Genomic DNA, 18,176 nt, shown 5'->3' with positions numbered 1-18,176 from the left:
GGGTGGGTGGTGTGGGGGACCACCACACAGAACTGCGGGAAGGAGCAGCTGGGGATCTTGCTGGTTCCACGCTCCCAGGGACCCCACCAAGCCCCTTCCTTCATGGCTGCCATCAGGGCCAGGCGTGATGGAAAGGAATGAGGGATGGGGAGATTTCTTCTTCAAGAAAGCTGGGAAGAAGAGAGGCCAGAGATAGAGAGACAGGTAGGACATCATCTGGGCCCAGGCCTTGGGAACTTGGGGCTCCAGCAAAGGGTTGCTGAGGGACAGGAGAAAGCCCAGATAAGCAATGCCTTGGGATTTTTGGCCTGGTTAACTGGGGCAAGGGGCAGGCAGACGGGTGCAGGCTAGAAAGGTTTGTTTTGGAGGCTTGAAACATTACATGTTATCTTCTTGATCTCCACCATCAAATAATTGTGCCTTAAGGAAGGCAGAGTTATTTACTCTGACTCTGAAGAGTCATCAAAATGATAATAATAATAATAATACATCTTTTGTGCACTTTTATTGGCTGCACAACAACATTGTAGCAACAACAGAAATTTAAAAACAAAAAGAAAACAATAGATACCCAGCACAGAGGGTCACTGCTGCCAGACCAGCTGCCGCTCTCCCAGGCCGAGTGTCTTGGGTGGCTTTGGCAGGGATCTGGCCTGAGCTGTGGGGGTGGGTGTTTCCTCTCATGCCCCCTGCCCTCACCTCAGAGATAAAGGAGAAGGGACTGGGCCAAGAAGAGGACCAACTGGTTTCTGAGAATGGTTTGAAAGACACCGGAGAGAGGCCAGGAACAGGGACAGCTTGGTCCCGGGAGCCTCCCACGTTCATCCTCCCAGGATTCCAAGGCATCTTGCTGACTTGCTGAGCCACCTAGGGCAGGTCCCACCAACTGGCTTAGGCTCAGACACCCCAGACTTTATAATCCCTTCTCTGGGGTGCTCAAAGAGCAGGTGTTGGCACCAGGGGCCTGGGCCACAGCAAAACCGTGGAGCTCAGCAAGTCCTGAGTATGAGTGATGGCACAGGCATTCCTGCAATTCAAGGGGCAGGAAGGGAGCCATTTGTGGGGGAGGCTCCGTGTCCCTTGGAGCCCCAGAAAAGCATCTGGCATCCCGAGGGAGAAACACATAATCCCCAGCCCTGCGGGCCTCAATGGCTTCATCTGAATGGCTGTCGTCTGGCAGCCGTGCAGCAGTAGACACGCAGCATGGGCAGGTTTTAAACAAGCAGGGTAGGGAGTCCCAGAGAGGGTCCCTTCAGACAGGGCTGGAGTAGAGGCATCTGAGCAGCCAGGGGCCAGATGAGGGACAGGGAGAAGGCCCTGAGTTTAATGGCGAGGCAGGGCCTGGGTGGGCAACTGTAAGGGAGGTGACAAGGCCATCACGATCTAGTGTATCAGGACTTTGGGAAACTGGCAGGGACGGCCAAGGTGGGCGTGCCCCAGGATCCTCCACCCTGTGCACTGGGCTGTGAAGGAGACTGAGACGGACAATCTTCTTTCCTGCCCTCAAAGAACCCCCAGTCTGAGGGCAGACAGGTCCTCTGTAAAGGGCAGGGACAGGCTGAGGAAGGAGGGCTCCCTCTGGGAGCTGTGGGGGCAAGGTGGGCCTCTTGCATTAGAAGGACCTGTGGCTGTCCTCAGAACCTCAAGCTCCCTCTAGGCCTAGAGGTCTGGACTGAGTGCTCTGCCCTTGGGAGTTCAGCTTCCAGGGCTGGTGACAAAGAGAAAGGGGAGGTTTGGGAGGGGCTAAGGAGGCACCATGGTTGTCAGCAGGCGCCCAGAGCGGAGGCCACCGAGGGACCCCAGGTGCTTCCCAGGGCAGTGCTAAGCAGGCATCATGGGCTCCCACAGACCTGGCTCGGGGGCCATGCTCTGCCCAGCACCCTGTCCTGCAGCCCTGGTGTCCTTGGGGGTGGAGGGGGAGCCTCTGCGCTACAGCGTGGGTGAGTTCCAGATTCTCATGGATGGCGTGTCCACCGCGTGCCAGGCCTGGAGCGGAGCTTGGACTCTTTCTCATTGACTCCCTAGAAGCTTGGGAGCCCTGGGCTCTAGTCTCTGTACAAGAAGGGGGATTGGGGCTGGCACAGATTGGGAGGGGTCTTGAAGCTGCCCTTTCACAAAGCATTTTTGATAAGATTGGGAAAAGCCAACTATCCCTATCAAAGACTGCTGGGGAGGAGGGATTCGTGGGATTAGGAGAGCTGAAAGTCCTCCTTCCTCACACAGTTGTGCCCTGAATAAGAAGAATCAAGCCCTGTGCTAAGGGACTTTCTTGTATTCTTTCCTTTTATCTTCATATCAGTAGCAGGGAAAACAAATCTATCACTCCTATTTGGTAGAGGAAATGGAGCTCAGAGAGGGTTAGTGATTTTCTCAGAGTCACACAGCTGGTAAGAGGTGGAACTCTTAACTGGCCACACTGCCTCTTTGGGACCTAGATAGCATCATGCAGTCTGGTCTTCCAGGTCTGGCCCCCACAAGTCTGGCCAGCCCCTGCCTCCCTTTCATCTAACTGCAGACACTGGCAGCCCCTCTGGGGAGCTCTTTGAGTCTTGTACACAGGAATCAGGGTTCACTCTGGAGCCCTCGGAGGCTCCCAGATCTCTTTGAGGTCCCAAAAAGTTTGAGGTCCTGAGCTCTGGTCCCCAGGCTGAGCTCTGAGCTCTCCAGATGGCTGTACTCCCAGGAAGCAGCTGTGCGAAGTCAGGCCACCGAGACACTGGAATCTGACCTTCACACAAAGGCAGCCTTGTACTGGGCCCTGGAGACACATTACTTTTTACTTTCTAGGCCTTTCTAGATAGAGCTTGAAGCCCAGCAGGAGAAGGGCAGCATCGAGACCACAGAGAGGGGAGGGCACCCGGGGTGAGCAGCTGCTGGGGATGAAACTGCTGGAGGTGCTGGCCAGGGCTGGCTCCCCACCCGCTTTCTCCCTAGGAAACTCCCACACCCACTAAGGAGCTTTTGCAATTGGGAAGCTAGGTGCTCAGCCCCACTTGTCTCCAGTCCAGTGAAGCCCTTTGTGGGTCAAGGGATTTGCTGGGCCTCCCTCGGTTCGTCACTCCCACCCTTCCCAAATGTTGCAAGGGGTGGTGTTTCAGGCTGGAGCTATGCGCTAGGGAGCCAGAAAGAGGCCTGATACAATGCTTGTCCTCAAGAAGCTCACAGTTTGAGGCCGGGTAGCAGGAGGAGGCCGTTGGGACAGTGGAAGGCAAGAGGACCTGCCTGTCCCCGCAGCCTCCGATGGGGGCCGGCAGGAAAGGCTTTCCAAGGGTCAGAGGAAATGAGTGCCAGTGATTCCTTCTCCATGATATGGAAACAGGTAATCCCGGCCCTGCCAGCCAAAATGAGTGGAACCTCTGGGGGTCCTCAGAGAAACATTTTCCGCAGGGGTCAAGGCACCCACCCAGCCCCTGCCTGGACAGCCTCAGACACTGCCTGGGTGTCCCCTCCTAGGACCCTGCCATGTGGGGCAGGTCTGGGGCAGGCCAGCCCAGGGCTTCTGGCTGGGATGCCCGGGTTCTTGCTCAGACCCGGCTTCTCTCCAGTGGATGGAGACCCAGCCTGAGGTCTCCTGCACATCTCCTGAGCATGCTCACCTTTACAGGGGCAGGTAAAGCCCATCTCAGGTCCCTTACCCCGGTGGTCCAGGCCTGGACAAGTGGAATCCTAGAGGCAATTTTAAAAAGCTAAAACAATGACTGTGGAGAAGCGTATAGAGAACATCTTGTCTACCCCAATTGTAATTCAGATGGGGAAACTGAGGCCCAGGGTCATTCTGCTGTGGTGGCCAGAACTCAGAGCTCTTCAGTCCCCATTGAGAAGGCCGGGAGTGGCAGCTGCAGGGGCCCTCTCCCCTCAGACACAGAGGAACTACTGAACAGCTGACAGACCCTTCTGTGCTAGGTCTTGTCCTTATCTCTCTTCATGTCCTGGGGCCAATGTGGCCTCTTCCTCTTCTGTATCCCTGAGAGTGCCTTGCATTGGGCTGGCCCTCAGCACAGGGTCCCGTGTTGGAGAGAGGGGCCCTCCTGGGGCTGGTTCCTGCCTGGCCTTTGGAGGAGGGCCTCTGGGGTCAGTGCCCTGCAGGACCGTTCTCGGAGAGAGATCTGTCCTAGGCCTGAGACCCACCTCTTCCTCAACACCAGTTATTCCTCCATCTGCACAAGAAGCTACTTTCCTGCAGCCTTTCCCACAGACCACGGAAAACAGCCCCAGCCTCCCGCTCTCTGCTCTTGTGTTGTTTTCCTTCCCGGCTAATTGAGTGACTGCCTTTGCTCTTTAGACGCCTTTATTCCAGAACCCCAGAGAACACAGCTCCCTGCCTGCCCAGTGGCCCCCAGCATAAAGGGTGGATTGATAAGATACAAGCCAGGGTCAGGCCAAGACAAGTGGCAGAGGGAGGAAGCGGCAGAGGGAGAGGGAGGCGGCAGAGAGTGCCAACCTTGCCTGGGAAAGCCTACCCCCCAGCTCTCAGCTGACTTGGCACTTGGTGGGCGGGCAGTGTGCTGGTGGTGCTGCATTGGCAGCAGGCAGCGAGCTTTCTGGGTTCTCCACTGCGCTGTAGATCTAGTCGTTGGTTGCCTTTTGGAGTCAGCTCCTGTTGGGATCTGGGTGCCTTGCTGGGCAACAGAGACCTTGATTGTGTCCTGGCCCCGTTCTTGGCTGTTACTACAGCAGTGATCTTAGTTTGGGCATGGGACAGAGCTGATGGTTGCACTGATCTTAGTTTGGGCATGGGACAGAGCTGATGGTTGTGCCCTGTTGGTGGAGCACAAAGGGGAGATGAGGACTACTTTAAGGACTGGCAGTCATCCTGATTTCCTAAGTCTCTCGATACAGATCTTTTCAGTGTGGTCTATGCATTTCTGTATGCCCTTTTTTGCTCCCCTTTTCACTTGATGTTATACTGTGAACATTTCCATATGTCATTAAATATTCTTTTTGTACTTTATTTTAATGGCTGCATGGGAATCCATGATACGGCTCTACCATAATGAACTGAATAAGAGACCAGTCCCCTGTTGGACATTCGGGTTGTTTCCAATGGCTTTGCTAATAGACACGTTGCTGTATGGATATCCATCTCCACATTCTCGCTGTACATGTCTCTGATTGCTTCCCTTGAGTAACTTCCAGAAAGTATGATTGCTAAGTGCAAGGATGTTTCTGTTTCAAGCCTTTGGATATATATTGCCAGTTGCCCCCAACAAAGCTGTACCAGTTCATGTTCTGCACTGCACTGCACCTTCCAGACAGTGGATATTGTCTGTTTGCCTGATTGTATTTTTGCTGCTTCAAGTTCTTTCCTTTTAGGAGAAACCTAGGGAGAGAGGGAGGTTAGGAGATGAGTTCAGATGGCTTCAGGAGATGTGGGTTATTGTGAGGAAAGGCAGGGAAGAAAAGAAGCTTAGAAAGAGGCTAGGAGGAGGCCGGGAGTGGTGGCTCACGCCTGTAATCCTACCACTTTGGGAGGCTGAGGTGGGCAGATCATGAGGTCAGGAGATCGAGACCAGCCTGGCCAACATAGTGATACCCCGTCTCTACTAAAATACAAAAAATTAGCTGGGCGTGGTGTCACGCACCTGTAGTCCCAGCTACTCGGGAGGCTGAGGCGGGGGAATCGCTTGAACCCAGGAGGCAGGGGTTGCAGTGAGCCGAGATAGTGCCACAGCACTCCAGCCTGGTGACAGAGCAAGACTCTGTCTCAAATAGTAATAATAATAATAATAATAGGAAAGAACATAAAAGTAAAAAGAAAAAGCCTAGCAGGGAATGGGAAGAATGGACCTTCCTGGCTCCCTGCTCAGGTGACAACCAGCATTGCTGCAATTCAGTTTCTCCCTGCCCTACTGCCGCCACCTGCTTCTGTGCACTCCACTCACTATGCTGTGACTTCCACCACCCCATTGTCTCAGCTCAGCCATCCTGATCTCTGCAAGTGGCTTCCAAACTCTGCAGGAGAGACTCTAATTTTCTGTCACCACCTACAGGGAGCACTCCCACTGAGCAGTGCTCCTGCACAGCAACTTCATGAGCCTCTGGCCAGGGCTTGCAGCTCCGGTCTCATGCATGTTGTCGGGGTCGCAGGGCCAATGTCCAAGGCTCAACAGCTGTGGGCAACCCCTTCTGACCGTTCTGCCTTGCATTTGGCGTACCTTGCCAGTAGCTAAAACCCAGGCCCAGCCCTTCTAACTCATTGTCCAGAGACTTCTTCTTCTATAGAGAGGGAGATTGGCAGAGGACACGGTGTGAGCAGAGCCCACGGGTGGGAACACATGGACATGAGAAGAAGGGGGAGGATTGCACACCCCAGGCTAGAAGATGCATCTGTCTTCCCTTCTTTCAGCTCTGAAGGGCAGGAGTGAGCTTGGCAGCTGGCACCCAAGGCTGAGGCCACTGAGCTGTGGTGGGCCCAGGTCAGAAGGACAATGAGCAGGGCAGGCCCTACCTAAGTCTCTCAGGGGTGCAAGATGGGAAAGGAGGCTGGCGTGTCCTGCTTGGGTAGATACCCGCTCTGTGAGCCTGTCTCTGTGCTTAAGCACAATGTGTCCTGTGTCCTCATTGGCCTCCCTGGGGGGCAAGGGTGAGGTGGGGGAGAGATGAAGGCCTGAGTCCTCTAGACACACAGTCACTGGGTCTCCAGCCCTCCTGGGACTAGGGTGGGGCAGAGTTCAGCTCATTCTTCCCCAAAGAAGAGGCCCCTGGCCTCTGCTGGAGGCCGGGTTGCTGCTGGTAGCCAGGACCCAGAGAGGAGGGAATCTGACTTCCAGAGCTCCAGGGTGGTGGGAGAGGCAGCCCCGACCATGACCCCATCCTCCATTAGGCTCAGGATGGGAGTCTTTAGTGAGGAGGCAACACGTGGTCCTTGAAGAGCGGTAAAGTGTGGGCATGTGATGGAGGGAAGGGCATTGCAGGCAGAGTCGCAGCACAGGCAAAGGCACAGAGACGGGGAACCAAAGGGAACTGGGAGCAGTTCAGGTTGGCTGTAAGGAAAGGTGTATGTTGAGGCTGGGAAAGGTAAGCGAGCCCCTTGGGGAGGGCCTGCCTTAGAAGCCCTGGTATAGACGTCTCCCTGTGGTCAATGAGAGCCATCGGGGGCTTTTGAGCAGGTCAGACCTGGATTTAGCAAGGTCACTCTGGGAGTCTCAGGAGTGTGGGAAAAGGCCGGTGGCTGGAGGTCATGGCTGCCCAAGGTCACCCAGCCTGAACCTGTCACAGGACTTGGCGGGAGGCATGATAGTCCTTTCCCAGAGGAGATGGGAGATGTGGTGCCGGGGTCTTCCTTGAAGTTCACCGTGAGAGGCAGCACCCCTGTGGGAACAGCAGACTTGGGTATGGAACTGTGGGGGTTTGGATGCCAGCTCTGCCACTCAACTCTTTAGTTGGGAGGTGACAGTGGTGATGGGCAAAGAATGGCATGGCGCATGGCAGGGGCTCAGTAAGCAGTAAGCAAGAGATGATCGGGGCCTCAGCGAGGGCAGGGGCAGCCTCCTTCCCACCAGAATCTCCTCTTCCAGCTGGTCTAGGGGCTCAGACAGGTCCTGCTGGCTCAGCTGAGCTTGTGCAGAGAAAGGGCTGGGTCATGCAGCTGGCCAGGAGGCCTTGTCACCCTTCCCAAGGGTGACAAGGGGTCCTCCAGAGCTAGGGCTCTTGTCCCTGTCATGAAACAGCTGGACTAATAGGAGACTGACATTGCAGACCTATGAACCTTCCTTCCCTTCCCATGCCTCATTCCCTCCTTCCAGGAAGGATATGAGATGACCTGACACAAAAGCACAGGCTCCATGGAAGAGGAAACAGGAAAAAGACAGAACCATGTAGCTGATGGGAGAGGAGAAATTAGGTGAAGAATTCTGTCCAAAATGTCCATCAAGATTTTAAACACTCTTTTCTCTTGATCCGGTAAACCTCCTTCTAATAATCTAAACCGAGAAGGAGGGCTGGAGGCTGGATACCACTTGAGCGTCCTTCAGTGGAGAGTGGCGGAGTAAATTATGAGAGGGCCCAACCGTGGAGTACAACGCAGCCACACAGCATGCACACAATGAGGCAGGCATGTTAATATCACCAACGTTAAAGATGGATGATTTGGCTAATGGCTAGGTTTGATTTGATTCATATGATTTAAAACATATATTTGGCTGGACGCAGTGGCTCACACCTGTAATCCCAGCACTTTGGGAGGTCAAGGTAGGAGGATTGCTTGAGACCAGGAGTTCAAGACCAGCCTGGGCAACATAGCAAGACCTTGTCTCTACTAGAAAAAAAAAAAAAAAAGCTGGGAATGGTGGCATGCACCTGTGGTCCCCGTTACTTTGTGGAATGGCTAAATTGATCTAATTAGCATATGCGTTACTTTACATACTTCACACACCTGGATAAATTTTTGTAGAGATAAGATCTACTTTTTGTAGAGACAAGGTCTCTCTATTGTTCAAGCTGTCTGCAACTTTTGGCCTCAAGCAATCCTGCCTTGGCCTCCCAAAGTGCTGTGATTACAAGCGTGAGCCACTGCACTTGGCCTGTAGTTTTTTGCGTAATAGAAAAATATGGCCAGGCACAGTGGCTCATGCCTGTAATCCTAGCACTTTGGGAGGCCAAGGCTGGAGGATCGTTTGAACTCAGGAGTTCGATACCAGCCTGGGCAACATGGCTAACCCCCACGTCTCTACCAAAAATACAAAAAAAATTAGCTGGGCTTAGTGCTGTGCATCTGTGGTCTCAGCTACTCAGGAGGCTAAGACTGGAGGATCTTTTGAGCCCTGGGTGACAGAATGAGACCCTGTCTCAAAAAAAGAAGGAAGGAAGGAAGGAAAAAGAAAGAAAGAAAAGAAAAGAAAAGAAAAATATTGCGCTGTTCCATGTCTCTATAAAAAGCAGAGAAACAAAAGGTGGACTCCAAGGGCCATGTGTCTAAAGGAAAATGAGAGGGAGCTCATTTCTTCCTGGAAAAGAAGACTGCCTCTGGTTTCATTTGCAAATCCTGGGCCACTTCATTCATTTATTATGTATTACTATACATTATTTACTATGATGCTGATACACTACCCGCCTGGTCCCATGAGCATTTTGGGTTTGCTACCTGTGATTAATACATTAATAAGATGATCTCTCTCCCCTGCCACCTTATTTTTCATAAAAAGCAATTGCAACAACAAAATAAAACCTAAGTCCTTGTATGAATATTTGTAGAAAGAGGGCCTATCACTTTTTCTGTCATAGACTGCTAAATTGTTTCATATTTCTTGGAACAAGTATGCATATTTTTGTCATTAAAAAGAGATTATAGGCCAGGCACGGTGGCTCATGCCTGTAATCCCAGCACTTTGGGAGGCCGAGGCAGGCAGATCACCTGAGGTCAGGAGTTCAAGACCAGCCTGGCCAACATGGCGAAACGCCATCTCTACTAAAAAATGCAAAAATTAGCCAGGCATGGTGGCGGGCACCTGTAATCCCAGCTACTTGGGAGGCTGAGGCAGGAGAATCACTTGAACCCAGGAGGCAGAGGTTGCAGTGAGCCAAGATCGTGCCACTGCATTCCAGCCTGGGCGACAGAGTGAGACTTTGTCTCAAAAACAAAAAAAGAGATTATAGTGGCTGGGCACGGTGGCTCACGCCTGTAATCCCAGCACTTTGGGAGGCCAAGGCAGGTCAATCACTTGAGGCCAGGAGTTCGAGACCAGCCTGGCCAACACAGTGAAACCCTGTCTCCACCAAAAAATACAAAAAAAATTAGCCAGACATGGTGGTGCATGCCTGTAGTCCCAGCTACTCGGGAGGCTGAGACAGAAGAATTGCTTGAACCCAGGAGGTGGAGGTTGCAAGGAGCCCAGATCGCACCACTGCACTCCAGCCTGGGCAATATAGTGAGTGAGACTCCATGTCAAAAAAAAGGAAAGAAAAAAGAGATTATAAATGCTCAAGTTAAAACGTTTGGCTTGGAGATCCCAAGACTCACCTCTGCTCTTCTTGGCAACCTGGGTGAACAGGTGAATACAGAGGAGCGTGAGCTTCTAGATGTGCCCACGGGAGAAAGTCACCTTTTCTGTAGTCCAGGCGTAGGAGGAATCTGTGCCAGGGGAGGGAAGAGAACTAATAACCACTGAGAGGCAACTGGATGCCAGGCCCTGGGCATGCTCTGAGGGCCATTGCACAAGATTCTTGCACCACTTTGTGGGGGGTCAACATTCTATTTTTTTTTTTTTTTTTTTTTTTTAAAGACAGAGTCTTGCTCTATCGCCCAGGCTGGAGGGCAGTGGTGCGATCTCAGCTCACTGCAACCTCCACCTCCCGGGTTCAAGCAATTCTCATGCCTCAGCTTCCCAAGTAGTTGGGATTACAGATGTGCACCACCACCACCAGCAAATTTTTGTATTTTTAGTAGAGACAGGGTTTCACCATGTTGCTCAGGCTGGTCTTTAACTCCCGGCCTCAAGTGATCCGCCCACTTTGGCCTCCCAAAGTGCTAGGATTACAGGCGTAAGCCACCATGCGGGCCCTCTCTCTGTTTTTCTTAAGTAGCTTTATTGAGCTATAATTTATATGCCATGAAATTTACCCATTTTAAGTGCACAATTTGATTATTTTTAGCAAATTTACAGAGTTGCAAAACATCCCCACAATCCAATGTTGGGACATTTCCTTCACCCCAAAAAGATCTCTTGTGCCTATTCCACGGTCACTCCCCACTCCCACCTCCAGCCCGGGGCAAACACGAATCTGCTTTCTATCTTTTCTGCCTTTCCTTTTTCGCACCTGGCTTCTTTCACTGAACATGTTTTTGAGTTTCATCCATGTTGTAGCCTCTATCAATACTTTATTCCTTTTTATATTTTTTTAATTTATTATTTAATTTGATTTAATTTTTTTTCTGAGGCTGGGTCTCACTCCGTTGTCCAGGCTGGAGTGCAGTGGTGCAATCATGGCTCACTGCAGCCTTGACCTCCCATACTCAAACAATCCTCCCACCTCAGCCTCCCAAGTAGCTGGGAATACAGGCACACAACACCATGCCCTGCTAATTTTTTTTTTTTTTAGAGATAGGGTCTCACTATGTTGCCCAGGCTGGTCTTGAACTCCTGGGCTCAAGTGATACCCCGCCTCAGTCTCCTCACATGTTTACAGGTGCGAGCCACTGCACCAGGCCACTTTGTTCCTTTTCAGAGCTGAATAGCATTCTACTCTCTGACCACATTTTGTTTTTCATTTACCAGTCAGTGGACATTTGGGTTGTTTCAATTTTTTGACTCATAAACAATGCTGTGAAGAACATCTGTGTGTAAGTCTTCGTGGGGACATGTGTTTTTATTTCTCTTGGGTAGATACCTAAGAGTGGAGTTGTTGGGTCGTACTGTAGTTTTATGTTTAACTCTTTAAGAAACTGCTAACCTGTTTTCCCACATGGCTGTCCCATCTCATTCCCACCAGCACTGTATGAGGGCTTCTGTGTCCCCATGTCCTCATCAACCCCTCACATTTGCAGGTGATGAAGATGCAGCTGAGAGAATGGTTTGTTAGGTCAAACAGCACACAGAGGCAGAATTGAGGTTTTTGAACCCAGGTGTACCTGACTTTCTGGTCTGGGCATGGACTTTAGCAAAATGCAACAGTTAGAGGCTCTGAAGAGGCAGATCAGCGGGGTCCACCAGGCTAGCATCCCGGGATATGGGGCAAGGCTTGGAGAGGTCTGAGGAGTGATTGGACGGGGCCTAGTGGCCCTTGACTCACGCCACTACCTGAAGGCTCAGGGCTCCCTCATGGCCAGTGGCATGGGCATCCATCCCAGAAGGTCTTAACCTCTGCCATACAGAGGTGCCAAGCACCTCTCTGGCACCCTCCCCTGTCCCGCCTGCATTTCCTGCAGGCTGCCATGTATCCCGTTTGGGTCTGGATATGTCCTTGTCATCCCTACTTCCGGCCCTCCACAGGAGGAGGAATGGGCTCTCCTGTCCCAGCCCCCAGATCTTTACCTCTTTCTGCCAACCTGAGTCTGCATGCAACCTAAGAGTGTCAAAGAGGAGGAACAAGCTCATCTAGTTCATTTGTCTGCCTCAGGGAAGGACCGGTGACAGGAGAATAGGCGAGGTGGGTCTGGCCAGCAGGTGGCAGGGCAGCCCCACCTGTCCTGGCCAGCCCTCATCCCTTCCCACCATCATCATGGAACCACCACCCTTGCCCCAAGGAAAGGACGTCTCACGGGACCAAAGGGTCCAGACCACCCATCCAAGCTTCCTTTGCAAATTTGGAAAAAAGAGGAAGAAGGAAAATGTGCATTTATGGAGCACCAGCCATAGGTCAAAGCTTCTTCATATACACCCTTTCTCTTGATCCTCATGTCCACCCTGAGAACTGAGTCCTCATCTTTCCCCTGAAATTGACTCAGTGGTTCAGTGGCTTGTCCAAGTCTTGCATACTAAGTGGTAGACCTCTGTTCCCACCCACCATACACAGAGTAAGCCTCTGACTCTTAAAGGCAGGGTGGCACCCCAGACAATGTCCTAAGTGTGAGCTGTGGAATCAGGTACACCTGAGTTCAAATCCTGACCCTGCACTTCCTTGATGTGTGATCTTCGATAAATGACTGAACCTCTCTGAGCTGCAGCTGCCCCGTCTGTGCAGTGGAGCTCTCCAAACCCATGCTGTGAAGACTAAATGAGACACCTCATTTGTAGGAGGAGAATGAGCAAAGACTGTTGTTATTTTCTGAGACTGGGAGACTTCAGGCTGGAGAGCAGGGCTGATGGTTTTCAGTCTCCTCCAGACCCTCGGGAGGGTCGTTCTCTTTGGTGCTTTGACCTTCTGTCTAGCTGGATCTGTCCCCAACCTGTTCACAGGAGGGCAGGGAAAGACAGATACCCTGAAGGCACCTGGAGATCTGACAGTTCCACTGCCCAACCTTGGGAGGCAAATTCCAATTGGGATAAAAGAAGGAACAGAGTGTCTAGGACTTCCGTCTGTCCTCCAGTTATTTCCTCTCCTCTTCCTTGCTGCATCCCTAAACTTTGCTCTTCCTTCAAGGCTGAGTCAGACCTCCTCCTCTAGGCGGTCTCCCAGCCTACCCCAGTCTACCCCAGTCTACCCTGGCCTGCCAGCCTCAAGGCCGAGGACCCAAGGCATTGTCAGCACCAGACGGGCTGCGAGCTCTGCCCAGGGCAGGACAAGTGTCCCCAGGCTGGCATGATCCAAGCTGTGGTCTCCCCCACCCCACAGAGGAGGCGCTGTGGACGACTCGGGCCGATGGGCGGGTGCGCCTGCGCATAGACCCCAGCTGCCCACAGCTTCCCTACACTGTGCATCGGATGTTCTACGAGGCCCTGGATAAGTATGGGGACCTCATCGCTTTGGGCTTCAAGCGCCAGGACAAGTGGGAACACATCTCCTACTCCCAATACTACCTGCTCGCCCGCAGAGCCGCCAAGGGCTTCCTGAAGGTAAGGGGGCCCCTCATGGCAAGGCCTTGCCCCTCCCCAGATGTGCCTCCCAGCTCTGGGCCTCACAGGCCTCCTCTCCAACTGCCCACTGGGCAAGGCTCTTAGGAACAATAACTGTAAAAGCTGTCATTGTGCGTGGGGCTGATACTCCATGCTGGGCCCCGTACTGAGCTTTTATTTGCTGAGCCCCTACCATGTGCCAAGCACTTGTTACTCACTTTTCATTTGTGATCACATTCAGGGTGGGCTGGAAGCCCAGTGTGCTGGGCTGAGGGGCCGGACAGACTCGCTGGGAAGGCCCTGGGAGGGGCAGTGAGGGCTGTTGAGTGACCAACCCCTTCTCCTCCAAGGGGATTCTCTGACTGAGGGGACCCTGGGAGGGTGGAGCCTGCAGGTCCCCTGCAGTCTGGGTGGGGGCTCTGAGAGGGGCATGAGGGTCCCAGTCCCTGCCCGGCTGACCTGGCCTGTCTGCCTTTGACCTGGAGCTCGGCCTGAAGCAGGCCCACAGTGTGGCCATCCTCGGCTTCAACTCCCCGGAGTGGTTCTTCTCGGCAGTGGGCACAGTATTTGCAGGGTGAGTGGCGGGGGCAGGGACGGGGTCTCCAGGGGGTTGGCAGTGGGCAGAGGGTAGGGGAGGGTCCTTATCTCTTTTTAGCAGCCCCCACCCACTCCCCACCATCCTGCCTCCTCCCTGGGGCCTTCTGGTGGACCTGCATCTGGCGCCCTCTCTGCAGGGGAGGAGGTGCTCAGGTGCCTTGGGAGCCCCTCCTGCCAGGCTATGGGAGCTCTCTGGGTCTGGGGGCTACAGATGTGGGGGTGGGGGAAGGGGGTGGCCCCTCTGCACCTCCCCTAAGGTGAATCTTCCTGGGTCTCCTACAGTGGCATCGTCACTGGCATCTACACCACCAGCTCCCCAGAGGCCTGCCAGTACATCGCTTATGACTGCTGCGCCAATGTCATCATGGTCGACACGCAGAAGCAGCTGGAAAAGATCCTGAAGGTTTGGGGAAGAGGCAGTGGGCATGGGGTCAGATGCTGGGTATCCCCATGCACCTCCACTCCAACTCACACGGAACCTTCCCGCCCTCCATCCAGAGTGTCCTCATCCTCAACGGCAACCCTCTAATGCATACACAGCAAGCAAGGCAGGGCAACGGCTACTTACCCATTTGACAGGCAAGGAAATGGAGGCTCAAGGGACATGCCCCAGAAGTGGTGATAAGGCCTTGGGTAGGACTCCTGTCCAGCCACTGCCTTCCATGGCTTTCTCTTTGGGACAGGGTCTCCCCTAAAGGGAAGCAAGAGCTGTGGGGGCCGGGGTCCTCTGGCAGTGGAAGGGTTATGTGCAGGTGAGTGGCTTAGGGCTGTGACATCTTGAGCACTCAAGTCTAGGTGAGGAACAGGGTGATGGGGGGTGGTGAGGGCTGCCACAGGGTGGGGGTTGAGCCAAGTCAGACACAGTTTGGGCAGAGCAGGAGCTCAGAGTGCCTCTAGAGCCAGCGGGGGCTTTTCTGGAGCATTGATGATGCCTCCTGATCTAAGGCACACCCCTAACTGGCTCTGTCCCTGCATGCACCATACTGGGGTGTGGTGGCCTGGGGACACCTCTCTGTCCCAGCTGAACCCAACAGCCTTTAAGGCATTCAAGGGCTCCCTGCATCCCAAGGGAGTCCTCAGAGACTGACTTGTTGGCTTGCCTGTGATTCTGGAGATGTCACCTGGGCCACACCTTCCATCTGTGCCCGAGGGTGGGACAAATGGTCTCCAACCTTCCAAGACTATGCGATCTGGATCCCCAGAGGAGCCAGAGCAGGTGCCTATCCTCATTTCTAGTGGAGAAGTTTCCTGAAGCCTGAAAGAGAAAAGCAAGTGGGGCCAGTATCCTTGGGGGATACCAGCAGGGCAGCGCCAGAATCCTTGGGGGAGACCCAGGCTGCAGCCCAGACCCTTGAGGCAGAACCTCTTGGAGGGCATCCCCAAATCAGAGTGAGTTTGAAAATAGCCTCAGGTGAGGCTGTGGGCAGCCCAGGCCAAGAACTTCTGGCTCACGGCAAAATAAAATGAAGCCCCGGGAAGACCTCAGAGCTGCCTGGATAGACGTACAAAGGCCTCTGAGCAGGGTTTAAACTCAGAGGTGGTGTAGAGAAGTGGGTGAACACACACACTTGGGCTGGACCTGCCAGAGCTCAAATGCAGTGTGGCCTTGGGGAGGATGGTGACAGCCGCAGAGGTCACCTGGAAGGGCTGGTATGAGGGTAACTCTTAGACCAGTGTCTGACTCTTGGTGGGCACTTGTATTCATTTGCCAAGGCTGCTGGAAAAGGGTGGCTTCTGGGGTTGGCTGGCCATTTTTGTGTTCCTTGGCTTGTAGACGCATCACCCAGGCCTCTGCCTTCATCCTCAGCTGGCGTTCTCACAGTGTCTTCACGTCGTCGTCCTTCTGTGTCTGTCTGTGTCCAAATTTCCCATTTCTATAAGGACACCAGGAATATTGGATCCAAGCCCACCCTAATGACTTTGTTTTAACTTCATTACCTCCATAAAGACCCTATTTCCACATAAGGTCACACTTGGAGGTACCAGCTATGAGGGCTTTGGCATATCTCTTTGCGGCGGGTTGTGGAGGGGGAGACAATTCAACCCATGGCAGCACCATATAAGTGCTTTTAAATCATTATGTCACCCCATAGGTGATACCATGTCCTTCATAATGCACCGCCTCAAGAGGCACATGATGGCAGGTGGTACTACTTTCAGTTATGTTGGGCTTCTTCATGACCACCTTCTCTTCTTCCACTGTGAAATTCCCCATCAACCTTTCTCCTGATGGTTTTAGCATCCCTTGATGATGTTTGCCTGAAATTAATTATTTTATTAGGTGTAGCAAAATGTTGAATTTCTAATTCATTGGCTGGAATTCTCCAAAGAAAGAACTTTCCCTCATTACCTGGGGCTCTTTGGTACCTGAGACACTCTGTTTGTACAGAGTAGGTGTGATAGAATAATGATCAATTTTGGTGAATGTTCCATGCATATTTGAAAGAATGTGTACTCTGCAGTTGTTGGCTAGAAGGTTCTATAAATGTTAATTAAATCAAGTTGGTTGGTAGTATTTTAATGTTGTCTTCTGTATCTCTATTGATTTTCTGTCTTCTTGCTCTATCAAATACTAAGAAAGGGAATGTGGAAATCTCCAATTATTATGGTAGACATCTATTTTTCCTTCCGGTTCTATTAGGTTTTGCTTTATGTATTTTGGAGCTCTGTTATTAGGCATATACGTGTTTAGATTATTATGTTTTCTTGATAAATTAACCCTTGATCATTAAGAAATGTTCCTCCTTATCCCTGGTAATAATTCTTGTTCCAAAAGTATTTTGCCTCAAATTAATATAGCCACTCCAGGTTTCTGATAATTAATGTTTGCATTATGTATTTTTGTGTTCTTTTAATTTTAACCTAGCTGTGTCTTTATATTTAAAGTGAGTTTCTTGTAGACAGCACATAGTTGAGTCTTGCCCTTTTATCCAATCTGATGAAATTTGTATAAATAGCCACCATTTGGCTATTTTTTTATTTGTCCCATCTATTCTTTGTTCCTTTTCTCCTCTTTCCTGACTTTTTTGTCTTTTTTATCTTGTTTTCTTTTGGTCTTCCATTTGATCTTCAGTGGCTTATTAGCTATCCTTTGTTACTATATCAGTGTTTGCTCTGATTTTACAATATGCATCTTTAACTTATCACAGTGTACTCTCCAAGATACCAGTTCCCATGAAATGTGGAACCATACAACAGTATACTTCCACTTCCCCTCCCATCCTTTCAGCTGTCGTCATCCATTTTACTTCTATAGAGGTTATAAACCCCACAAACATTGTTATTACTCTTGCTTTCAACAGTTGAGTATCTTTCTTTCTTTTTTCTTTTTTTTTTTTAAGACAGGGTCTCACTTTGTCACCCAGACTGGAGTGCAGTGGTGCAATCATGGCTCACTGCAGCCTCAACCTCCTGGGCTCAAGCAATCCTCCCACCTCAGCCTCCCAAGTAGCTGGGACTACAGGCATGTGAGGCTGCAGTGAGCCATGATTGCAACACTACACTCTGGCCTGGGTGACAGAGTTAGACCCTGTCTTAAAAAAACAAAAAGAAAGAAGGAAAGATACTCAACTGTTGAAATCAAGAGTAATAACAATGTTTGTGGGGTTTATAACCTCTATAGAAGTAAAATGGATGACAACAGCTGAATTTTTGTATTTTTTGTAGAGACAAGAGTCTTGCTATGTTGCCCAGGCTCATCTCAAATTCCTGGGCTCAAGCAATTTGCCCACCTCGGCTTCCCAAAGTACTAAGATTACAGGCGTGAGCCACTGCACCCAGTCCAGCTGAGTATCTTTCAGAGAAAATTTTAAAGAAGGAAATAATATGTTTCATATTTACCCACATTTTTGCCATTTCTGATACTCTGTCTTCCTTTATGTAGATCCAAGTTTTTATCTGATATCATCTTTTCAGCCTTAAGAACTTTTCTTTTTTTTTAAAGATTTGTATTAGTATTTTATTACAACTATTCTGTTTGTTCTTTTATATTCAACATCCCACATTTATGTATGAAATGTACAGACCAAAACTTATTATTGCCAATTACTTTTTTAAATTTATTTTTATTTATTTTATTTTATTATTATTATACTTTAAGTTTTAGGGTACATGTGCACAATGTGCAGGTTAGTTACATATGTATACATG

At 51.2% G+C, this 18,176-nt stretch overlaps 1 protein-coding gene across 6 annotated transcripts in view, besides 2 other annotated features; it reads left to right on the top strand.

The window, feature by feature from the left end:
- Positions 1–18,176, top strand: part of ACSBG1 (acyl-CoA synthetase bubblegum family member 1) — a 67,098-nt gene that overhangs the window by 26,630 nt on the left and 22,292 nt on the right. For 4 of the 6 annotated variants that reach the window (XM_017022025.3, NM_015162.5, XM_011521390.4 and 1 more), the window contains 3 exons: positions 13,210–13,430; positions 13,916–14,004; positions 14,310–14,430. In XM_017022025.3, the coding sequence (XP_016877514.1) occupies positions 13,210–13,430; positions 13,916–14,004; positions 14,310–14,430 (431 nt within the window). Of the gene's footprint in view, positions 1–116; positions 7,844–13,209; positions 13,431–13,915; positions 14,005–14,309; positions 14,431–18,176 lie in introns of those variants that run through there. The other 2 variants (XM_011521391.3, NM_001199377.2) reach the window with 2 other exon arrangements.
- Positions 11,984–12,043: a silencer, noted in NCBI's record as "silent region_6707". NCBI's record gives its function as "represses an Ori minimal core promoter by ATAC-STARR-seq in GM12878 lymphoblastoid cells {active_cell/tissue: GM12878}" and the evidence as "EXISTENCE:reporter gene assay evidence [ECO:0000049][PMID:35858748]".
- Positions 12,204–12,253: an enhancer, noted in NCBI's record as "active region_9912". NCBI's record gives its function as "activates an Ori minimal core promoter by ATAC-STARR-seq in GM12878 lymphoblastoid cells {active_cell/tissue: GM12878}" and the evidence as "EXISTENCE:reporter gene assay evidence [ECO:0000049][PMID:35858748]".

This window comes from Homo sapiens, chromosome 15 (assembly GCF_000001405.40).
Source record: "Homo sapiens chromosome 15, GRCh38.p14 Primary Assembly".
Classification (NCBI taxonomy): Eukaryota; Metazoa; Chordata; class Mammalia; order Primates; family Hominidae; genus Homo; species Homo sapiens.
Note: the sequence above shows the minus strand (reverse complement) of the source record. Positions and strands in the feature narration are given on the sequence as shown.